General features: G+C 40.8%; 1 protein-coding gene and 1 long non-coding RNA gene across 4 annotated transcripts in view; one reads left to right on the plus strand and one right to left on the minus strand.

Moving 5' to 3' along the window:
- Window positions 1-21,805, plus strand: part of UBE4A (ubiquitination factor E4A) — a 39,612-nt gene that overhangs the window by 14,787 nt on the left and 3,020 nt on the right. For both annotated transcript variants that reach the window (NM_004788.4, NM_001204077.2), the window contains exons 9-19: window positions 510-843; window positions 2,188-2,308; window positions 5,060-5,364; window positions 7,005-7,137; window positions 8,203-8,390; window positions 10,249-10,349; window positions 10,446-10,559; window positions 12,052-12,226; window positions 15,339-15,519; window positions 16,271-16,418; window positions 18,352-18,509. In NM_004788.4, the coding sequence (NP_004779.2) occupies window positions 510-843; window positions 2,188-2,308; window positions 5,060-5,364; window positions 7,005-7,137; window positions 8,203-8,390; window positions 10,249-10,349; window positions 10,446-10,559; window positions 12,052-12,226; window positions 15,339-15,519; window positions 16,271-16,418; window positions 18,352-18,509 (1,958 nt within the window). The remainder of the gene's footprint in view (window positions 1-509; window positions 844-2,187; window positions 2,309-5,059; window positions 5,365-7,004; window positions 7,138-8,202; window positions 8,391-10,248; window positions 10,350-10,445; window positions 10,560-12,051; window positions 12,227-15,338; window positions 15,520-16,270; window positions 16,419-18,351; window positions 18,510-21,805) is intronic.
- LOC100131626 (uncharacterized) overlaps window positions 6,834-21,805 on the minus strand; it is a 37,596-nt gene continuing 22,624 nt past the window's right edge. Inside the window, exon 4 of one of the 2 annotated variants that reach the window (NR_046370.1) lies at window positions 6,834-7,121. This is a non-coding gene — a long non-coding RNA (uncharacterized LOC100131626). Of the gene's footprint in view, window positions 7,175-21,805 lie in introns of both variants that reach the window. The other variant, NR_046369.1, reaches the window with a different exon arrangement.

A 21,805-nucleotide genomic window follows, 5' to 3' on the forward strand; every position in this document is an offset into this window, starting at 1 on the left:
GGCATTGAATGATTGAATTGGGGATAGTTTAAGTCCCCTAATCATTAATCATTACAACTCTCTAAGGCAAGGCATGGCAAACTAGCAGTGGCCAAATCTGGCCTGCCACCTGTTTTTGTAAATAAAGGTTTATTGAACATAGCCATGCGCATTAGTATATGTATTGTTTCTGGTTTGAATTCATACTACAGTGATAGAGTTGAATAATTGCTACAGACACTGTATGGCAAGTAATGCCAGAAATCCTTATTGTCTAGCCCTTTGCAGAAAAAATTTACAGACCTGTGCTCTAATACCGTGTAATGCCATCTGCAGTTGGGCAGCTGATCAGAAAATCTCTTATAAGTGCCCAGAAATATATTTTAAAATCAAATTAGGGGATGAGGCACAGAGAGTGAGGGGAAAGATTAGGATTAGCATATTTTTGGAAACTGCCAGTTGCTAAGGTTTGGGAATAAAAACTATTAGGATTGTGAAACGTTCTGTGGTTGTGTTTTCTGGTTGAACAGTTCATGGCTCAGTTCCACGAAAAGATCTACCAGATGCTGAAGAACTTACTCCAGCTCTCTCCAGAAACCAAACACTGTATCTTGTCCTGGCTTGGAAACTGTTTGCATGCAAATGCAGGCCGCACCAAGATTTGGGCCAATCAGATGCCAGAAATCTTTTTCCAAATGTATGCCTCAGATGCTTTCTTTCTGAATCTGGGTGCTGCTCTCCTGAAGCTATGCCAGCCATTTTGCAAACCCAGATCCTCTCGGCTCCTCACCTTTAATCCCACATACTGTGCCCTCAAGGAGTTGAATGATGAAGAACGAAAAATTAAAAATGTACACATGAGAGGTAGGAGAGAACCAGGCTTCTCAAAACTGTGTGTGTGTGTGTGTGTAACGTGTAAAGCATTCACTCCCTTATCCTTTTTCACAGAGTTCCTTTCTCAAAAAAAGATGAGGCAGAAACGAGCTATTTCGATTTTTTTTTCTTTTTTTTTGAGATGGAGTCTTACTCTGTCACTCAGGCTGTAGTGCAGTGACGCTATCTTGGCTCACCGCAATCTCTGCCTCCCGTGTTCCAGCGATTCTCCTGCCTCAGCCTCCCGAGTAGCTGGGACTACAGGCACGCGCCACCACGCCCAGCTAATTTTGTGTATTTTTAATAGAGACGGAGTTTCACCATGTTGGCCAGGATAGTCTCGATCTCTTGACCTCATGATCCATCCGCCTCAGCCTCTCAAAGTGCTGGGATTACAGGCGTGAGCCACCACGCCCAGCCAGAATTTTTAAAAGACAGATGTTTGAGAGAAAAAAAAAAACACCTGGTAGCTTTTAAATGTTGTACTTTAGTGAGACCTTCTCTCTGGATTTGGCAGCCTTGCATATTCATTCATTCATAGTTTATAAAAATGAATAAAGCAGAGTCCTCATCCTTTTTGAACTCAGGCTCCAGAAGGCAGATATATTAACTGATAATTATAATATGGTATAGGGCTAAGCTATGGGAGCACAGAGGAGGGAGTAAATAATCAATTCTGCAGAAGTTGGAGGTCTTCATAGCTGAGTCTTGAGAGACAAGTTAGGTTTTACCAGGCAAAGAAGCAAGAGGGTCCCTTTATACAGAGAGAAAAGCAAGTGTAAAGGTACAAAGCTATGGAAAATCTTGACTAAGGAATGGTGAGAGGCTCAATGTGGCTAGGGCAAGGGGTAGATGGGGTTGAGTTGGGGAGGAAATGGATCAAGGGAGGAAGATAGGTGGGGCTGGATTGGAGAAAACAGTACAGAGAAATGAAGAGAAAATAAATGACTCACAGTCCTACCATTCAAAGTGAAATCACTCTTAATTTTGGTATATTTCATTCCAGTTTTATAATTCTAATTGTAAACATGATAACTGCTCAAAAGCAAATAATCAAATTCAGAAAAGCACAAAATAAATACAAATGATCTATTGCCTATCACTTGAAACAATCTATAGTAGTATTCCTTTTAATTTTTGGTGATTTCATGAAAAAGATTTAACTGTATTTCTGTAGACGGTGAGAAACCAAAAGATATATTCAGACAAAGAACTAATATGACAAGATATGTTTTTAAGAAGATATCACTGCTAACAGTATGGAAATTGAATGAGTGTAAGAGGAGACTGGAGACCAAGACATTTACCCTCTTTTTTTTTTTTAACTTCTTTGAGGTTTGGACAAAGAAACCTGTTTGATCCCAGCTGTGCAGGAGCCGAAGTTTCCACAGAACTACAACCTTGTAACAGAGAACCTTGCTCTGACAGAGTACACCTTGTACTTGGGATTTCACAGGTAACTCCTCTGATGTCATTAGGAAAAAACAGTTTAGTTGTGTTGATAACTAGAAGGTAGAAATTGAGTCTTTGGCCAGGCACAGTAGCTCACATCTTTAATCTCAGGATTTTGGGAGGCCAAGGCAGAAGGATTGCTTGAGGCCAGAAGTTTAAGACCACCAACCTGGGCAAGAAAGTGAGACCCCCATCTCTACCAAAAAAAAAAAATTAGCCAGGCATGGTGGCATATGCTTGTGGTCTTAGCTGCTTCAGAGGCTGAGGCAGGAGGATTGCTCTAGCCGAAGAGTTGGAGGCCACAGTGAGCTATGATTGTGCAACTGTACTCCATCCTGGGTGACAGAGTGATAACCTGTTTCTTAAAAAAAAAAGAGAGGAAGAGTCTTACAGATATAATCTGAGCTTATTCTAAAGGTTCACATTAGAATCTAATAGAAAAGGGGCATTGTATGAATTTACTTGTGTTTCATGAATCAGCTTTGTCCAGATTCCTTAAATTTGTTTTTAACTTTTATCGTTGTCGTTGTTGTTGAAATGGATTTTCGCTCTTGTCACCTTGGCTGGAGTACAGTGGCACATTCTCTGCTCACTGCAACCTCCGCCTCCTGGGTTCAAGCAATTCTTCTGCCTCATCCTCCCAAGTAGCTGGGATTACAGGCATGCACCACCATGCCCAGCTGATTTTGTATTTTTTTAGTAGAGATGGGGTTTCGCTGTGTTGGCCAGGCTGGTCTCGAACTCCTGACCTCAGGTGATCCACCACCTTGGCCTCCCAAAGTGCTGGGATTACAGGCATGAGCCACTGTGCCTGGCCTGTTTTTTAACTTTTGACCTGTTAAACTTTAAAAATTAAATCACTGTCTTCCTATTGTGATCTGGGAAAGTGGAATTGTTTTCATTTTATATTGCACTTTCTGCTCTTAAATTTTCATTACTGGCCGGGTGTGGTGGCTCATGCCTGTAATCCTTTGCACTTTGGGAGGCCGAGGCAGGCAGATCACTTGAGCCCAGGAGTTTGAGACCAGCCTGGGCAACATGGCAAAACCCCGTCTCTACAAAATATACAAAAATTAGCTGGGCATGGTGGCGTGTGCCTGTAGTGTCAGCTACTCACGAGGCTGAGGTGGGAGGATCTCTTGAGCCTGGGATGTTGAGACTGCAGTGAGCCGAGATTGCGCCACTGCACTCCAGCCTGGGCAACATAGTGAAACCCTGTCTCAAAAAAAAAAAAAAAAATTTCATTACTACTCCTGGTGATAAAAGATGAAGTTCAGCCGGGCGCAGTGGCTCATGCCTATAATCCCAGCACTTTGGGAGGCTGAGGCAGGCAGATCACAAGGTCAGGAGATCAAGACCGTCCTAGCTAACATGGTGAAACCCCGTCTCTACTAAAAATACAAAAAATTAGCCCAGCTTGGTGGTACGCGCCTGTAGTCCCAGCTACTCGGGAGGTTGAAGAAGGAGAATCGCTTGAACCTGGGAGGCGGAGGTTGCAGTGAGCCGAGATGGTGTCACTGCACTCCAGCCTAGGCGACAGGGCGAGAATCTGTCTCAAAAAAAAAAATTAATTAAAAAAAAGAAAAAGACCAAGTTCTACTCTACAGATAGAGACAAAAGTGGCAAATATTAAGGAAATGTTTATAAGGGAGCTAATGAGATCAATAGGACCACAAAAGACATTAGATAAAGAAGATTCTAGAAATGTTAAGATTTTAGAACTAGAATGTATGACTTCCAAAAACAGTTCTGGTTCTGGCTATTCATTATTCTGTAATTTGTTTTCCTCTGATTTAGCTGATTATGACAGGTATAAGTAGAGGAAGAAAACAGCAACTCAGTCATAGAAAGGGACACTAAGAATAGCAATTTTTAATGCCTTCTCAAGATACCTGAATTGATGCAGAGCATTTTTCAAAACTACTCAGTCAACACATTGCCGGAAGAAGGAAATTATGTCTTTAGAGAGAAATCTCCATCATAGACATTTTAAATAAGACAGTAGATAAAAGTTCAGCATGTGCTTAAGCTGCTCAGCTGCCTAGATTCAAACAAAAAATGAATATCATCTAGTTTCCCAATATTAGCTAGCTCAAGACATTATCTACAGGGCCAAAGGAAATGATTTTGGACTATTATCCATAACTTTGAATTATGTGTCTTCCTTTCAGTAGAGAATATTAGGCTGACCTTTTCTGAAGAATAATTTAATTTAATATTGAACAACAGAGAGCTGGAAGCTGCTCTTAGATTGCATCTCAGGTGGCTACTAGTTTATATGTGGTCATTACTAATCTAGAGTCCCTTTTCACCAGCTTAGTTTTCTACTAACCAAAGAAAGACTATCCATATAACCCCATCAAAGTATGATCATTGCATCAAAGTATGATCATTGCCCTTGTGTGATGTAAAACTATCCTGCTGGCCTTCTTGTACTTTGCCTAATAATTATTTTATGTAATAACAACCCATTCTACACCCTACTCAACCAAGCTGCCTTTCTTTGGATAGTGCATTTCAACTGAAGGCTGCTATTTGCAATTAGCTTCAATTATGTTGAATACTTGGCAGCATTTTCCCATTGCTGTGCACCCTGCCTGTGTCCTGTCAAAAACTTTTGTGAGTGCCTTCTGTGTCATTGCAACTGCAACTCCCTACTATCCTTAAAGAGAAGGCTAGATAAATAATTGAGGATTTGTTTTTTTGTGACTTTCTGTTTTCCCTGACCCAGTCTCTTCTGCTTTCTTGGGGGCAGGTTGCATGATCAGATGGTAAAAATCAACCAAAATCTGCATCGGCTGCAGGTTGCCTGGCGGGATGCTCAGCAAAGTTCTAGCCCTGCTGCTGACAATCTTCGTGAGCAGTTTGAACGACTGATGACCATCTATCTTTCTACCAAGACTGCCATGACAGAGCCACAAATGCTACAAAACTGCCTAAACTTGCAGGTGTCCATGGCTGTTCTACTGGTTCAACTGGCCATAGGCAATGAGGGCTCACAGCCAATAGAGCTAACCTTTCCTTTGCCAGATGGCTACAGCTCTTTGGCTTATGTGCCAGGTAAGCAGGCTCTCCCTTGGGAATGTCCTGTTTATAGCCTTCTGAGTTTAAGTGGGTCACTTTGGAAGTTTAATCCTCAAAATACCCTTTCTTCGTTATCATTCAGTTGTTTTTGGAGAAACAACTCAAACTTAGATAATATCTACTGGTCAAAGTATTAGGGGACTAACAGTTTGTTCCCTCAACCTTGTGTCCCCCTGCTATGCATATCAGAAAATCATCTTCAAAGGATTAAGTGTAATCAGAGTTTTCAGAGCTGTTAGTTTCTATCATTAATATTTGTTCAACTTACACATTCATCTAACTTTCCCTGTCCTTTTTGTAGAAAAAAAATTAGCTCCTGCTGGTTAACTCAGAAGGGAAAGAGTGTGTGTGTGTGTGTGCGTGTGTGTGTGTGTGTGTGTGTGTGTGTGTGTGTGTGTGTGTCAGTGAGTCATTGAGGGGTGGGCAGGTGTTGTCAATCTAATCAGGTTATGTGTTCTTAACCATTGTATTGGCCATATCATGCTGAGTAACAGATTACCCCAAAACATAGCAGCTTAAAACTACAGACTGGGTATGATGGTGCACGCCTGTAATCCCAGCACTTTGGGAGGCCGAAACAGGATGATTACTTGAGCCCAGGAGTTCAAGATTGGCCTGGGCAACATAGAGAGACCCTATCTCTACAAAAAATAAAAAATTAGCCAGGCATGGTGGTGCACACTTGTAGTTCCAGCTACTCAGGAGGCTGAAGTGAGAGAATCGCTTGAGCCCAGGAAGTTGAGGCCACAGTGAGCCATAATTGCACTACTGTACTCCAGCCTGGGTGACAGCAGGACCCTGTCTCAGAAAATAAATTAATTAATTAATAAAATAACAACAACAACTGCAAACAGCTCACTCACCTGCATTGTTCTGACTCAGAGTTCCTCAGGAAGTTATATAGCCAAGCTGTCAATCAGGGCCTTAGGAATCTGAGGACTCTGCTAGGGCTGGAGGATCCACTTACAAGCCCAGTCATGTGGTTGTTGACAGGCCTCAGTTGCTTGTGCTATTGGCCAGCAGCTTCTTTTCTAGGCCATGTATGTGTCTTCTAAATACTACTCATGATATGGCAGCTGGCTTCCCCCAGAGCAAGTGACCAAAATGGAGACTGTAAGCTTTTATACCCTAATCTTGGAAATGACATACTATCACATCTGCTGTATGCCTCAGAGTTTATCTTCTACTCTGAAAGAGTGAATGTGGGAGGGGACTGCATAAGGTCATGAATACCAAAAGGCAATGATCATTGGAGGACCATCCTGGAGTCTGGCTACCACAGTCACCTAACATATTAATCTTTATTAGAGAGTCCTCACACATCTGAAGGGTTTAAACCACAGTTAACCTTGAGAGTAAAAATGTATATATTAGTATACTGGTGTGTTAACATTTTGTGTCATTACTGTTCATATATTTACTTGAATAAAAATTTAAATTGACTTACATTTAAAGGAGATTTTACATTTATTGACTTAACGACCATCTCTAGTACCAACAAAACATTTAGGGTTTTTTTTAACCTTCATTAAGTAGGGTGAAAGGAATTTAAATGTTGTTTATTAGTACAGATATACAGATGTTTGGCTAATTCCAGTGAATATTTTCTTTTTCAGAATTTTTTGCAGATAACCTGGGTGATTTTCTCATTTTTCTCCGCCGCTTTGCCGATGACATTTTGGAGACATCAGCAGATTCCCTGGAGCATGTCCTTCACTTTATCACCATTTTCACTGGAAGCATAGAAAGGTGAAGTGCTGAAAGCTTGGTTCTGTCACTGTTTAGGCTGTAAAACATTCAGAAGACTTCTAAACCAAGAAATAAACAAGCCTGAATCATAAGGGGTTGCCTTCAGAAGTTATGGTAACATTAAGGAATCACCTGACCATCCATATGGGTAGCCAGAAATCCCACTGTTGAGAGGTATAATAAACAAAGGACTTTGTCCACAGAGAATTTAATCCTGCATATAAGTATCTTATGGGAAGTCCACTGCCAGTCCCTGGTTAAAGTAGTTAACCTAATGCCAGAAACTTAACAGTGGCAGCCAGGTGCTAATGATCTTCTAATAATTATATGATAATAAAGCTTATTCTTGCTATTCTGAGTTGGATGAGCAGTAAACTTAAGTCAATGTTATTTCTCATTTCAAGTTTTCTCACTCATAGCTTCTAGTCCTCTTTTCCAAAGGAAGATACTGTGACTTGTAGAATTGCTTCCCTGATTTTTTTGATGCATAGGCTAAAGGAAGTGGAAACTCTGTGTACAAAAGTGAAGATTTGCTGCACAATGAAGAGAATGACCCACAATTCCCTGAGCCGTATCAGTGATAAGTAGAGAGAAGCCATTTCTTCACTGAGCTGAGCATACCTAATGAGAAGTCATAAGTCAACAAGTATTATGCATACACTGTATGCGTCATGGGTAATGTAGCATAATTATATTCTAGTCTTTACCCTCAGAAAGCTTGAAAAGGCAAGTTTATTCCACATGAAACTGTCAGAGAATAGGAAGCAGTAAATAATGCATTATTACAGAGAAGTAAACAATGGCTAAGCATTCAATAGAAACTTAAGTGCTCACCGTCATATTTGGTAAGCTGTCAACTCAAGAGTTAAATGATGTACCCTGCATCACCACCCCACCCCCCGCCCAGCCGCACCAAGAAACTGACAAACTTAAAACTGCAGAAGTGGATCCTTTTTTTTCCTGTAATATGGTTTAGGGTGGATTTTGATTCTTATGTGGAGAGAACAGAGTCATAAATTTGGAGTTAAGCTTATCTGCTCATCTTGCTTTTTGCCCATTTTGCAGAATGAAGAATCCCCACCTGAGGGCCAAACTAGCAGAGGTGTTGGAAGCAGTGATGCCCCACCTGGATCAGACCCCAAATCCCTTGGTATCCAGTGTGTTCCACCGGAAACGTGTGTTCTGCAACTTTCAGTATGCACCCCAACTTGCAGAGGCTCTAATCAAGGTTTTTGTGGACATCGAATTTACAGGTAAAGCAGTCATGAAGCTGAGCCCAGAACTGGGAAGCTGATACCAGTGGAGTTTCATAGTTTGATCCGTATTTGGATATCAAAGAAATGTCAAGCCATTACTTATTGAATACCTACTATATGCCAGGCTTGATGATAAGTGCTTTTTTTTTTTTTTTAACATTATCCCATTGTCACCATTGGAAAAGTTTCACTCTATTATCCCTGTTTTATTTATTTTTTATTTTTTAATTATTCTTGTTTTACATATGAAGACATGACTGCCCAAAAGATCAGTTTGTCCATGTCATAACAAACTACCAAGTGGTAGAATCAGGTCTGTGTCACCTAAAGAAATCTACATATTCAACACCCTTATTATGTTGCATCATCAAATCAGACTCAAATTAGACTATTTGGGTCTTTATATTTCTCTGCCTTAAAATTACAGAATAGTGCATAAAGAGGCAGTGTATTGGTTGAGAGATTCTTTTATCTTAACCAGACTATCTAACTCTCCAACAGTCTAATGGTTCGATTAAAAATACCAGCAGGCGGACAGGCACAGTGGCTCATGCTTGTAATCCCAGCGTTTTGGGAGGCCAAAGTAGGCAGATCACTTGAGCTCCTGAGTTTGAGACCAGCCTGGCCAACATGGTGAAACCCATTCTCTACAAAAATACAAAAATTACCCAGGCATGGTGGCAGGTGCCTGTAATCCCAGCTACTTAGGAGGCAGAGGCACGAGAATTGCTTGAATTCGGGAGGCAGAGGTGGCAGTGAGCTGAGATCGCACCACTCCAGCCTGGATGACAGAGCAAGAAATCCCTCTCAAAAAAAAAAAAAAAAAAAAAAAACCAGCAGGCAACATTCCCTCTCTATCTAACCCTGAGCCCCTGTGTTTGTTTAAACAGTACCCTGTCTCAATCAGTAAATAAGATATGTTAAGAAGTTGTTGAAGACCATTTTTTAAAGGGATATCTACCATCCAATGATAAATACAACTAACATTTAAAGAGGCATTTAACATTTTACTGGCCGCCTTTCCATATTTGGATTCTGGTTTTTTTTAATTCGCTCACCTATCAACCTTAGTTTCCTCATCTATAAAATGGGTCAAAGTGATGATTAAGTGAAATAATGCATGTAAATCTTTATAATACATAAGAAATTGTATAATAAATCATTGCAGTTATCTCGTTATGTGACCATACAACCAAAGTGTTGTAATGGAGTACAATTTCTGTTTTATTTCTGAGGAAGTGGAAGCTGAAGAAGATTAAGAGACTTAGATTAAGCAGAGCCAGAATGAAAACGTAGGTCTTTTGACTCCAAATCCTACACTCTTCCTTTATTATGACCCAGCCTGTGGAGCTCTAGTAATACCTTTGGTATTTCAAAAGCAGTATAAGCCTCAGATTTTTAGCTCCTGACCTGATTTTTCAGAGTAATCAAGAACCTGTTGGCTACACAGTTTGGGATATTGTCTGTGAAGAATGTGGGAATTGCTTAGTGTCCCGTCCTGCACATGGCTTTCACTGCCATAATGGCCAGCCCTGAGCCCTCATTTAAAGCCTGAGAAGTACTCATGTTTGGATATGGAAACATTTGTTTCCCTTAACTTTTATTTTACAGCTTGGTACTTGTCTCTTGCAGAGTAAGGTATCCTTTATCTCTGTCTCCCCCTTACTTCATCAGTAAGGAAATGAGCAAACACTTGGCGATAACTCTAGGCCTTTAGAAACTCCAGGGCAGATTTTGTTAGTAGCCTTAACACACTCAAAAGCAAATGACTACAAAGCAAATGGCTACACATAAGCATAAACTCTTCCTCTTATGGCACCGCCTTTGCTGATATTTCGCTCTTGCCTTACTCCAGGAGACCCCCATCAATTTGAACAGAAGTTTAATTACCGCCGTCCCATGTATCCTATCCTAAGATACATGTGGGGGACAGATACCTATCGGGAGAGCATTAAGGTGAGAGAGTTTTTGATGAAACCTGTTGCTTTATATAAGCCCTAATGAGTTGTAATTCAGTACTAAAATGGTTTTCTTGTGGGCTGGGACTTACAGGATTTGGCTGACTATGCCTCTAAGAATTTAGAAGCCATGAATCCCCCACTTTTCCTCCGCTTTCTTAACCTGCTAATGAATGATGCCATCTTCCTTTTGGATGAAGCCATACAGGTAAAAAAAAAAAAAAAAAAAAAGATTTAACTTCTCCATACCATCAAATCATCAGCAGTACATACATTTTACCTTTTAATCATAATAGAGCAGTCCTTATGCCCCTAGTACCAGACTTGAACACCAAAAATTTGTGATTAGTAGTGTACCACCAAGCTTGTCATTATAGAGCTTTCTAGTTCATTCCATTAGAGACCAAGATCAAGGGTCATTGAAGCATCATGAGATGGACATTTTGGCAGAGTCAAAAATACCATATGGTGAAGCCAAACTAAGTTGTACTGGCAGGAGTAATTCATCAGGCCAGCACTACAGAAAGAAATCAGAGGAGCTTGCTTTTGGTCAGTGACTTTCAACCCTTTTAATCCCAACATGTCAGTAAAATATCTCACTAAGACAGTGATTTTTAACCCACTTTCCTAAAAGATTCTGATTTTTGCACCACTACTTGAAAGAAAATCTCTGATTTGGGTTATTTTTTCATATAAAGGCTCCAAGTTGTCAATACTTCTCATATTTCCACTGCCTTCTAAATTCTTAGCTATATGGTGAAACAAAGGTTTCACAAAGTATAAAATGCAGCTGGGTGCCTCTCAGCTCCTTCAGTGTATTATTTCCTTAACCTTCCCTGGTGGAACTGCTTACTTCTCCCATAAAAACTTGGCTGTCTGTAGAGCAAAACTTCCCTTACCTGTGATGGGTATAGGATGGACAAGGCACTGACCTAAAGGGAGATGAAGCAGGTAAATCCTGAGGGTAGCCTTTAGACAGTCATGAGCTCCTCCTTATGATCAGCAATCCCCTGAGTAGCTTGTGTTTAATTTGTGAGAAAGGTTTGATCTGATTTCTTCATAATCCTACGCTTTAGGATTTAAGATAGGTTTTCTTCAAAAGCGAGAATAGGTCCTGTTACAAACAGGCCCTTTTAAGCAAGAGGTGTGTGACACAAAGCATGAAGCAGATGGTATTTTCATGAGACTGTAAGTTTAACAAGTTGTTTGCTACAACAGGAAGGATGACGTGAGGTAGAGAGTTTTAAATAATTATGGTTCTTCCACGCATCTTGCATATGTGATAGAGCTTTGATTTTTTTGTAAGCAATTTGGCAGGGGGGATTTGTTTTCATCTTTCAGGAAGGATTCATTGTTTTTTCACTATAGTGTGGGGTTTTTTAGTTTTTTGTTTCTTGGCCTGGGTTTCATATATTAAACTATTCATCCTTCTTTGCATTTCACAATGCTATACTATTTCTAGGGGAATTACCTGTGAATCTACCCAAGCTGAAACAAATCTGTATGAAGCCACAATTTCTTTTTTTCCTGAAAGTTCTTTTGAGCTTCAGCCTTATGCTGAGAAATAAAGGCTCATGTCTTTTACATGGTCCCTCGTTTTCCCAGCTTAGTTGACTGGATTTTGAATAGGACCTCTTAAATGTCACGTCCCTTCAACTGCACCTTTCTTCTCTGATATATCCCATCTCTGGTTTCTGCAGTATTTGAGCAAGATAAAGATTCAGCAAATTGAGAAGGATCGAGGTGAATGGGATAGTCTGACTCCAGAAGCCCGCCGAGAAAAGGAGGCTGGCCTACAGATGTTTGGACAGCTGGCACGTTTCCATAACATCATGTCCAATGAAACAATCGGTACCCTTGCCTTTCTCACATCAGGTAAGGACATGAAGTACTGCTTCCCCCCAAAAAAGTAATGGCCAAGATCAGCTTCACTTGGGGGATCAGCCCAGCTGAAACTAAGAATTCAGACCCTGGTGACAGTATCCTCCACATCTGGAAGGGAAACGAATCACTTGAGAAGCTTCAAAAAGAATGATGATGCCCATTGTTGACATGGAAGTGAGGAAATGGTCACCCTCACACAGCTGCCAGAGAGCATAAGGTGGTAAAATCTTTCTTGAGGACAAGTTAGCCATATAAATATATGTGTGTCTGTACACACACATATATACATATATGTTTGTTAATCTGAGAAATACGCTTGAATCCTGGTTAAATATGGTGGATCTAACAGAAATTTATCTCTACTCCTTCTATAGCTCCACTGTCCAATTCAGTAGCCACTTGCAACGTGTGGCTTTCAAGGATTTAAAATGTAGCTGGTCTGAATTGAGATGTGCTATAAGTACAAGACTTAGTGTTAAAATGTGAAATCTGTCCATTTTTATACTGATTACATACTGAAATTATCATTTTTAATGTCTCAGCTAAATGTGATATGACAATCAGTAATCACCAGACATTTGAGGAAATCCTCTAATGTGAAAAACAAATAGGTGAAAACTTTGTAAAAACTTTTTAAAAAAACTTTTTAATCTCAGAGGGATAAGAGAAGATACAGCAGCCACAAAACAAGAACAAAGAGGCAATGAAAGAGATTATTTGAAGAATAAGAAAGAGCCCTTGGATATTGAAATTTTTACCTCGGAAATGTTAAATATTCAGTAAAGGAGTTAGAAGATATAAATTCAAGGAACTCTTCTATGAACGTAGAACAGAAGGAAAAAGATGGAAATTAGAAGAGAAAGGATAAGAAAACAAAAGGATGGATCTAGGAAGTCTCAAAAGCGAAAAATGGAGGGGAGGAAGTTATCAAAGATACCAAAAAATCCCCAAGACTCAAAGACAGCCTCTAAATTGAAAGGGCTTGCCAAGGCCCCTGCACAGAGAATTTTTTAAAACCCACAGTGAGGTATGACATTGTGAAATTTTAGGAAATCATGGTAAAAACAAGACCCTAAAATAGCCCAGAGAAGTCAGGTAATGTTACCATAGTTTAAGTATCAAAATGGCTTTGCACTTCCAACAGTGTCATTTGAAGCTGAGACACATTTCTGAGGGAAAGTAAACCTAGGAGGAGGAAGGTGGAATTCAACACAAGGGAGACGCAAAGGAGATTCCCAGGATGACGGTGAAAGGAGCTTGTGTGGCCACTACATAGCAGGCCTGTAGAGCAAGCAGTCCAGGTTGGAGCAAAGGATGGAAACATCCAGAAAGAATGTTTCCAAAAATTAATCAGCAGCTGGAAATGACCATGTTGAGAGTTTTAAATTCCAATGGAGAGTTTGGAAAGGATTTAGTGATAAGAGGCTCTGAAAATAAGCAAATAAGCAAAAAGTTATACTAAAAAGGAACTATATACTCATTAGGACAGCACATGGCTCTGCTGTGAATAATATTTACATAATCTTAATAACAAACTAAATTATTTAAGCAAAAATTTGACTATATATTGAGGGCATCTGTGATAATGACTAAAACTGAAAAATCAAGAACTATCAGTACCAACCAAACATAGCATTATGATACTGTCTGACTTGTTAAATTTGGCATGTATAAATTTTTTTTAATTTTTGGAATTCATGCCCTATAACATAGCAGTTCCTTACAGATTTGTTAAGAAGAAGCGATAGGCCAGGCACGGTGGCTCACGCCTGTAATCCCAGCACTTTGGGAGGTCGAGGCAAGCAGATCACAAGGTCAGGAGTTCGAGACCAGCCTGGCCAACATAGTGAAACCCCGTCTATACTAAAATTACAGAAATTAGCCAGGTGTGGTGGCATGTGCCTGTAGTCCCAGCTGCTTGAGAGACTGAGGTAGGAGAATCACTTGAACTTAGGAGGCGGAGGTTGCAGTGAGCAGAGATCACGCCACTGCGCTCCAGCCTAGGCAACAGAATGAGACTCTATCTCAAAAAAAAAAAAAAGAAGCGATGAGTCTACAAGATGTATCCACAATGAAGTTCATTGATAAGTGTAGGAAAAAACTGAAAATAGTAAAAATGTCCACCAGTAAAGACATTAAATAAATAACTTATGGTGCAGTTACAACTGGAAAAGTCAGCCATTAAAAATGATGTAAAACAGACTGGGTACAGTGGCTCACACCTGTAATCTCAGCACTTTGGGAGGCCAAGGCAGGAGGATCACTTGAGCCCAGGAAGTTGAGACTGCCTTGAACCATGATCGTGCCACTGCACTGCAGCCTAGGCACCAGCAAGACCCTGTCTCAAAAAAATAAAAAATAATTTTTTTAAAAAATGATGTAAAACAGCTGGGCACAGTGGCTCACGCCTGTAATCCTCTAACCCTTTGGAAGCCGAGGCAGGAGGATCACTTTGAGCCCAGGAGTTTGAGACCAGCCTGGGCAATATAGTGAGACCCCATCTCATTTTTTAAAAAGATTATGTGAATCACCCCTATTCTATAGAACTTTCTGTGATGGTGAAAATGTCCTATAAATCTGGGCTGTCCAGAACCATACTTAACTAGCCACATGTGGCTAGTGTGACTGAGGAATGGATTTTTTATTTTTTATTTTAATAGCCACATATGGCCAGTGGCTACTATGTTGGATAGCACAGGGACATACACTTACTAAAATGATAAAGTATTTGCAATATAGTTACTGAAAACAGTAAGTTTCAGAATATGTAAAATATGATCATTTTTGTTTAAAAAATGTCTGTGTGTGTGTAAATAAGGACAGAAAAGCTAGAAGGACAAAATGTTAAATTAGCAAGATGTTAACAGTGTTTATCTCTGGATGGTAGTTTTTGTCTTTTCTGTTTTTTGTTTGGTTTTGGTTTTTTGCTTGTCTATATTTTCTGCAGTGAAAATGAATTACTTAGTTTTTTAAAAAAGTAGTTCCTTCAAAATGTTTAGAAATAAAATAACAGTAGTTCCCAGAGGTCTCCAAATAAACTATACCTAATAAGGAAAAGAGTGCTAATGGATTGAGTTTTCAGAGACTTTGGATTCTTTTCCAGAGATCAAGTCACTCTTTGTGCATCCCTTCCTGGCTGAGCGCATCATCTCCATGTTGAACTACTTCCTGCAACACCTGGTTGGCCCCAAGATGGGTGCCTTAAAAGTCAAGGACTTCAGCGAATTTGACTTCAAACCCCAGCAGCTTGTATCAGATATCTGCACTATCTACTTAAATCTTGGGTACCTGAGATTGAAATCTGTCAAGCCAGAGGGGATGCTGTTTTGATTTAGGGTTTTGATAGTAGAATGACTGGTTGGTAATTATGTGAAAATAGAAAAGAAATGGTTAATTCCTAGTTGCTTGATGAAGGAATCTTCTGTAGTTTTAAATAAGGAGATTTTATCTGGGCAAGGTGTCGTGTGCCTGTGGTCCAAGCTACTTGGGAGGCTGAAGTGGGAGGATTGCTTAAGGCCAGGAGTTTGAGACCAGCCTGGGCAACACAGCAGGACTCTGTCTCTAAAAACTAGTAAGATTTTGTGTGACCCATGGGACATTGAGATTTCCAGTATTCTGCTTTGATCTGTGCAAAGAGAAACTTTACTGGTTGTACCACTGTTTAGAAAAGTAGCATTCTTTTAAGGTCACATGATACTTGATAGACTTCCTAGAAAGTCTTTCTGTATCAAAAAGTATATATATTAAATATATAATATATTTAATATATATTATTTATAATTTATTATTATATTTTATATAATATAATTTTATATAATTATAATAAAATATATATTATATTTTATTATTATAAATAATAAATAATAAAATAATATTTATATATTATAAATAATATATATTGAAATAAGTCTTTCTATATCAAAAGAATGTTCATGGCTTTTAAGTGGTGAGAATGCTTGTTCTGCAGCCTACCTATTGTCTCTTCCATTGACCAACCCTCTGGTGATCAGTTTTTTTCTGATGCTAATGTTCCAGGGATGAGGAGAATTTCTGTGCCACTGTGCCCAAGGATGGACGTTCCTATTCCCCAACTCTCTTTGCACAGACAGTTCGAGTCTTGAAGAAAATAAATAAGCCTGGGAATATGATTATGGCTTTCAGCAACTTGGCAGAGAGAATCAAGGTGAGGAAGAGGAGGAATTGTTTGCTGATTTCATTAAGAACCACGTTGTCAGCCAGGCATGATGGCTCAAGCCTGTAGTCCCAGCTACTTAAGAGCCTAAGGCTAGAGGATCACTTAAGCCCAGGAGTTTGAAGCTGCAGTGTGCTATGATCATGCCTGTGGATAGCCACTACACTCCAGCCTTGGCAAGATAGCAAGACCCCATCTCCTAAAAATCCATGCAAAAAAAATCAGATTGTCACCTCAGCTGTGCTGATTTTTACTCTATTTCAGGGAGAAAAAGAGCATTACCAAGAGAAAATATAAACAGATGGTTCTTTTTGGACAGTCACTTAGAACTACAATATTCTTAGTTTTATTCTTGTCAACATGAGAGTGAGAATAGAAATTTAAGAAATCGGCTGGGTACAGTAGTGGCTCATGCTTGTAATCCCAGCATTTTGGGAAGCCAGGGTGGGCAGATCACTTGAGGTCAGGAGTTCAACACCAGCCTGGCCAGCATGGTGAAACCCTGTCTCTACTAAAAATACAAAAATTAGCTGGGTGTGGTGGCAGGCGCCTGTAATCCCAGCTACTCGGGAGGCTGAGGCAGGAGAATCGCTTGAACCTGGGAGGCGGAGGTTGCAGTGATCGCAACCACTGCACTCCAGCCTGGGCAACAGAGCGAGATTCCATCTCAAAAAAAAAAAAAGAAAAAAGAAATTTAAGGGCCAGGCGCGGTGGCTCACGCCTGTAATCCTAGCACTTTGGGAGGTCGAGGCGGGCAGATCACAAGGTCAGGAGATAGCGACCATCCTGGCTAACACGGTGAAACCCCATCTCTACTAAAAATACAAAAAATTAGCCGGGCGTGGTGGCAGGCACCTGTAGTCCCAGCTACTCAGGAGACTGAGGCAGGAGAATGGCGTGAACCCAGGAAGCAGAGCTTGCAGTGAGCCAAGATAGTGCCACTGCACTCCCGCCTGGGCAAAAGAGCGAGACTCCATCTCAAAAAAGAAAAAAAAAAAAATTTAAGAAACCTCAACTAGAAGAGAAGAATGTGCACATTTATGTAAGATGTTTTTATGAAAACGTTTATGCACAGTGTTACCAATAGATTTTAAAAGCTAGGGTGTTAATGCAGAATAACTTTTTAGAAAAAAAAAAAGATGAGTAGTTTTCAGTCATTAATTTTTATTTGGATTGTCTCTATGTTTGTAGTTGGTAGTTGGCTTTTATTGGAATATGCATACATTTTAAAGATTAAAATACTATATTGTATTTAGCTAAATCCCTTTGGTTAGAGTATGACAGAGCTCTATTAGCAGGTAAGAAGAAGGAAGATCATGGCACAAAAGTCTAATAGAAAACCTTCCTTATTGCTGTCAGTCTTCCCTCTATTGAGTTTCTTTTTTATTGAGTTGGACTTCATCTTTGTTTAGAGCTTAGCCAGGTGGATCCCTGAGGAACTCAAGTTGTGAAGGAATTAAATGTCAAAATGACTTTAAAATTCCTATACCTGTTTGTATCAAAAATCAAAAACTGCTTTTCATACGCAGGCTGCATGAGTGACTCTAATTATGCAAATAATACCCTCCTCCATTCTCCCTTCTCCATCCACTTTTGAATTATGGCATTTACAACAGAACTGTTGCCAGATGGATGTTATATCTGATGTATTTCTTTTCCTCCTAACATTTAAACCCATTTCCAGTATGACTGCCAGCAGCTGAGCCAACCTAAAGGTCCAGAGTTGGGGCTCAATGCTTAATTTGTTCTTAGAATATCTTGGCTTGTTTTTGAGAAAATGAAGCTCACGTGTGTCACTGTCACTGTCAAGGGTTATTAATGACCTGTTTTTTTATTTTTGAGATGGAGTCTTGCTCTGTCATTGAGCACGCTGAATTCAGCTACACTGTGAATTCACTTTAACTACCAGATGTTGTATACTCAGTCTCTTGCAGACCTCCAACAACAGGAAGAGGAAACCTATGCAGATGCCTGTGATGAGTTCCTGGATCCCATTATGAGCACACTGATGTGTGACCCTGTGGTGCTGCCATCTTCCAGAGTCACTGTGGATAGATCCACCATTGCAAGACATTTGCTCAGGTAGGCCAGTCCCAAAAACAGACTCAAGAGCATATATATATATTAGTTTGCTATCTTTTTCTCCCAGGCACCTAAGACAGTACTTTGCACCCAACACATACCACATATTATTGATTTACTGATATGTTGGAAGACATTTTGGTTTCAATTGCTAGGATATAAACATTTCAAAACAAAACATTCTGTTGAGAAATGCTAACTCTAACCTCACCTCTTCCTGCCTTAAGAAAATAATTTCTGGCCGGGTGCAGTGGCTCATGCCTGTAATCCCAGCACTTTGGGAGGCCGAGGCAGGTGGATCACTTGAGGTCAGGAGTTTGAGACCAGCCTGGCCAACATGGTAAAACCCCGTCTCTACTAAAATACAAAAAATTAGAGGGGCATGGTGGTGCGCACATGTAGTCTGAGCTACTCAGGAGGCTGAGGCAGAAGAATTGCTTGAACCCAGGAGGCAGAGGTTGCAATGAGCCGAGATCGCACCACTGCACTCCAGCCTGGGCTCAGGTGATCCTCCTACCTCAGCCTCTGGAGTAACTGGGACTACAGGCATGCACTAACACGCCCAACTAATTTTTGTATTTTTTGTAGAGACAGGGTTTCACCATGTTGCCCAGGCTGGTCTTGAACTCCTGGGTTCAAGCGATCCAACCGCCTCAGCCTCCCAAAGTACTGGGATTACGGGTGTGAGCCACTGTGCCTGGCCTGTTTTTTTATTTTTGCGACAGAGTCTCGCTCTGTCACCAAGGCTAGAGTGCAGTGGCGCGATCTCAGCTCACTGCAAGCTCCGCCTCCCAGGATCAAGTGATTCTTCAGCCTCAGCCTCCCGAATAGCTGAGACTACAGGTGAGCACCACCACATCTGGCTAATTTTTGTATTTGTAATAGAGATGAGGTTTCACCATATTGGCCAGGCTGGTCTTAAACTCCTGATTTCAAGTGATCCTCCCACCTCAGCCTCCCAAAGTGCTGGGATTATAGGCATGAGCCACCTCACCCAGCCTGCTTTTTCTAATTCAGGTTTTACACTATATTCACCATGTGGATTAACTCACGTTCTGTTGCTGTTGTTGTATCAGCTGTGGTAACCATGAACTTTCCCCAGCCTGCCTATTCTTCGGACAGTCTGCCCCATTATAACTATAGAAAAGACAGGAATGAAGCAATAAATGGTAGCTTATTAGCTGCTTAATGGGCCCCTTAACTTTTTTTAGTCCGGCATTAGAAAGAAATGAGTACTGAGAGACTCTGCCTATTTATATATTTATTTATCTATTTTTTTGAGACAGGGTCTTGCTCTGTCACCAGGCTGGAGTGCAGTGGCATGATCTCAGCTTACTGTGGCCTCACCCTCCCAGGCTCAAGCAACCCTCCCATCTCAGCCTCACCAAGTAACTGGGACCACAGGCCATGCACCACTGTTCCTGGCTTATTTATTTTTGTATTTTTTGTAGAGAAGGGGTCTCTCCATGTTACCCAGGCCAGTCTCAAACTCCTGGGCTCAAGCAGTCCACTCACATCAGCCTCCCAAAGTGCTGGGATTACAGGCATAGCCACCTTGTTTGGCCTCTCCATATTTAAAATTAAGTTATATCGAGCCAGGCACAGTGGCTCACGTCTGTAATCCCAGCACTTTGGGAGGCTGAAGCAGGTGGATCACTTGAGATCAGGAGTTCGAGACCAGCCTGGCCAACATGGTGAAACCCCGTCTCTACTAAAAATACAAAAATTAGCCGGGAGTGGTGACACATGCCTGTTGTAATCCCAGCTATTTGGGAGGCTGAGGCAGGAGAATCACTGGAACCTGGGAGGCAGAGGTTGCAGTGAGCCAAGATCACACCACCGCACTCCAGTCTGGGTGACAGAGCGAGACTCGTCTCAAAAAAAAAAAAAAAATTAAGTTATATCTCTACAAAAAATTATTTTTAATTAGCCAAGTATAATGGCACATGCCTGTAGTCCTAGCTACTCAGGAGGCTGAGGCAGATCGCTTGAGCACAGGAATTCAAGGCTGCACTGAGTTATGATGGCAGCACTGCACTCCTGCCTGGGCAGCAGAGCAAGACACCGTCTCTAAATAAACAGATAGATACATGTGGTATACTTTGACCCAAAGTTAAGGAAATTTTTAAATATTAAAAAGATGAATTTTTGGCCAGGTGCAGTGGCTTACGCCTGTAATCCCAGCACTTTGGGAGGCCAAGGCAGGTGGATCACCCTGAGGTCAGGAGTTTAAGACCAGCCTGGTCAACATGGTGAAACCCCATCTCTACTAAAAATACAAAAATTAGCTGGGCATGATAGCACGTGCCTGTAGTCCCAGCTACTCGGGAGGCTGAGGCAGGAGAATCCCTTGATCCTGGGAGGCAAAGGTTGCAGTCAGCCAAGATCACGCCACTGCAACTCCAGCCAGGGCAACAGAACAAGACTCCATCTCAGAAAAAAAAAAAAAAAAGAATTTTCTACCTCTTGGTATTTGGTATTAAGCATTCACTATATCGCTCGAAATGTGGCCCAACAAAAATTCATAACGTTTCTTAAAACATTACAAGAACTTATGTATAGGCCAAGACAGTTCTTCCAATGTGGCCTGGGAAGCCAAAAGATTGACATCTGTCATAAACCTTCTTATGTTTCAAGAAACCATAATCTGCATGTACTTGCATAACAATCAGCTGACTAAATCAAATGTTGGTCTACAAGGCTTTATTCCTTAACATCTCATACTGTTCTAAGAATCTGTCACTATAATTACAAATAGTTCTTTACACTGACATGAATGTATAGTGTCTCTGCCTTAGAGAAATCTAAAGGTGACAGAAGCATAGCATTTTTTAAGCCACTGTAATTAAATATCATCTGAACAGCAGTGTTGAGACAAAGTTTATTAAGAAATAGAGGCCAGGTGGGTGGCTCACGCCTGTAATCCCAGCGCACTTTGGGAGGCCAAGGCTGGTGGATCACTTGAGGCCAGGAGTTTGAGAGCAGCCTGGCCAACATGGTGAAACTCTGTTTCTACTGAAAATACAAAAATTAGCTGAGTGTCATGGTGCAGGCCTGTAATCCCAGCTACTTGGGAGGCTGAGGTCAGAGAATAGCTTTCACCCAGGAGGCAGAGGTTGCAGTGAGCAGAGATAACGCCACTGCACTCCATCCTGGGTGCCACTGCACCAGCCTGGGCGACAGGGCAAGACTGTCTCCAAAAAAAAAAAAAAAAGAAAGAAAGAAATAGACAAAGTAGCTACAAAAACTCCTGAATCATCTTGTTCTCACTCTTTCTAACCCCAACTCGGCATTTG

This window comes from Homo sapiens, chromosome 11, assembly GCF_000001405.40.
Source record: "Homo sapiens chromosome 11, GRCh38.p14 Primary Assembly".
Taxonomy (NCBI): domain Eukaryota; kingdom Metazoa; phylum Chordata; class Mammalia; order Primates; family Hominidae; genus Homo; species Homo sapiens.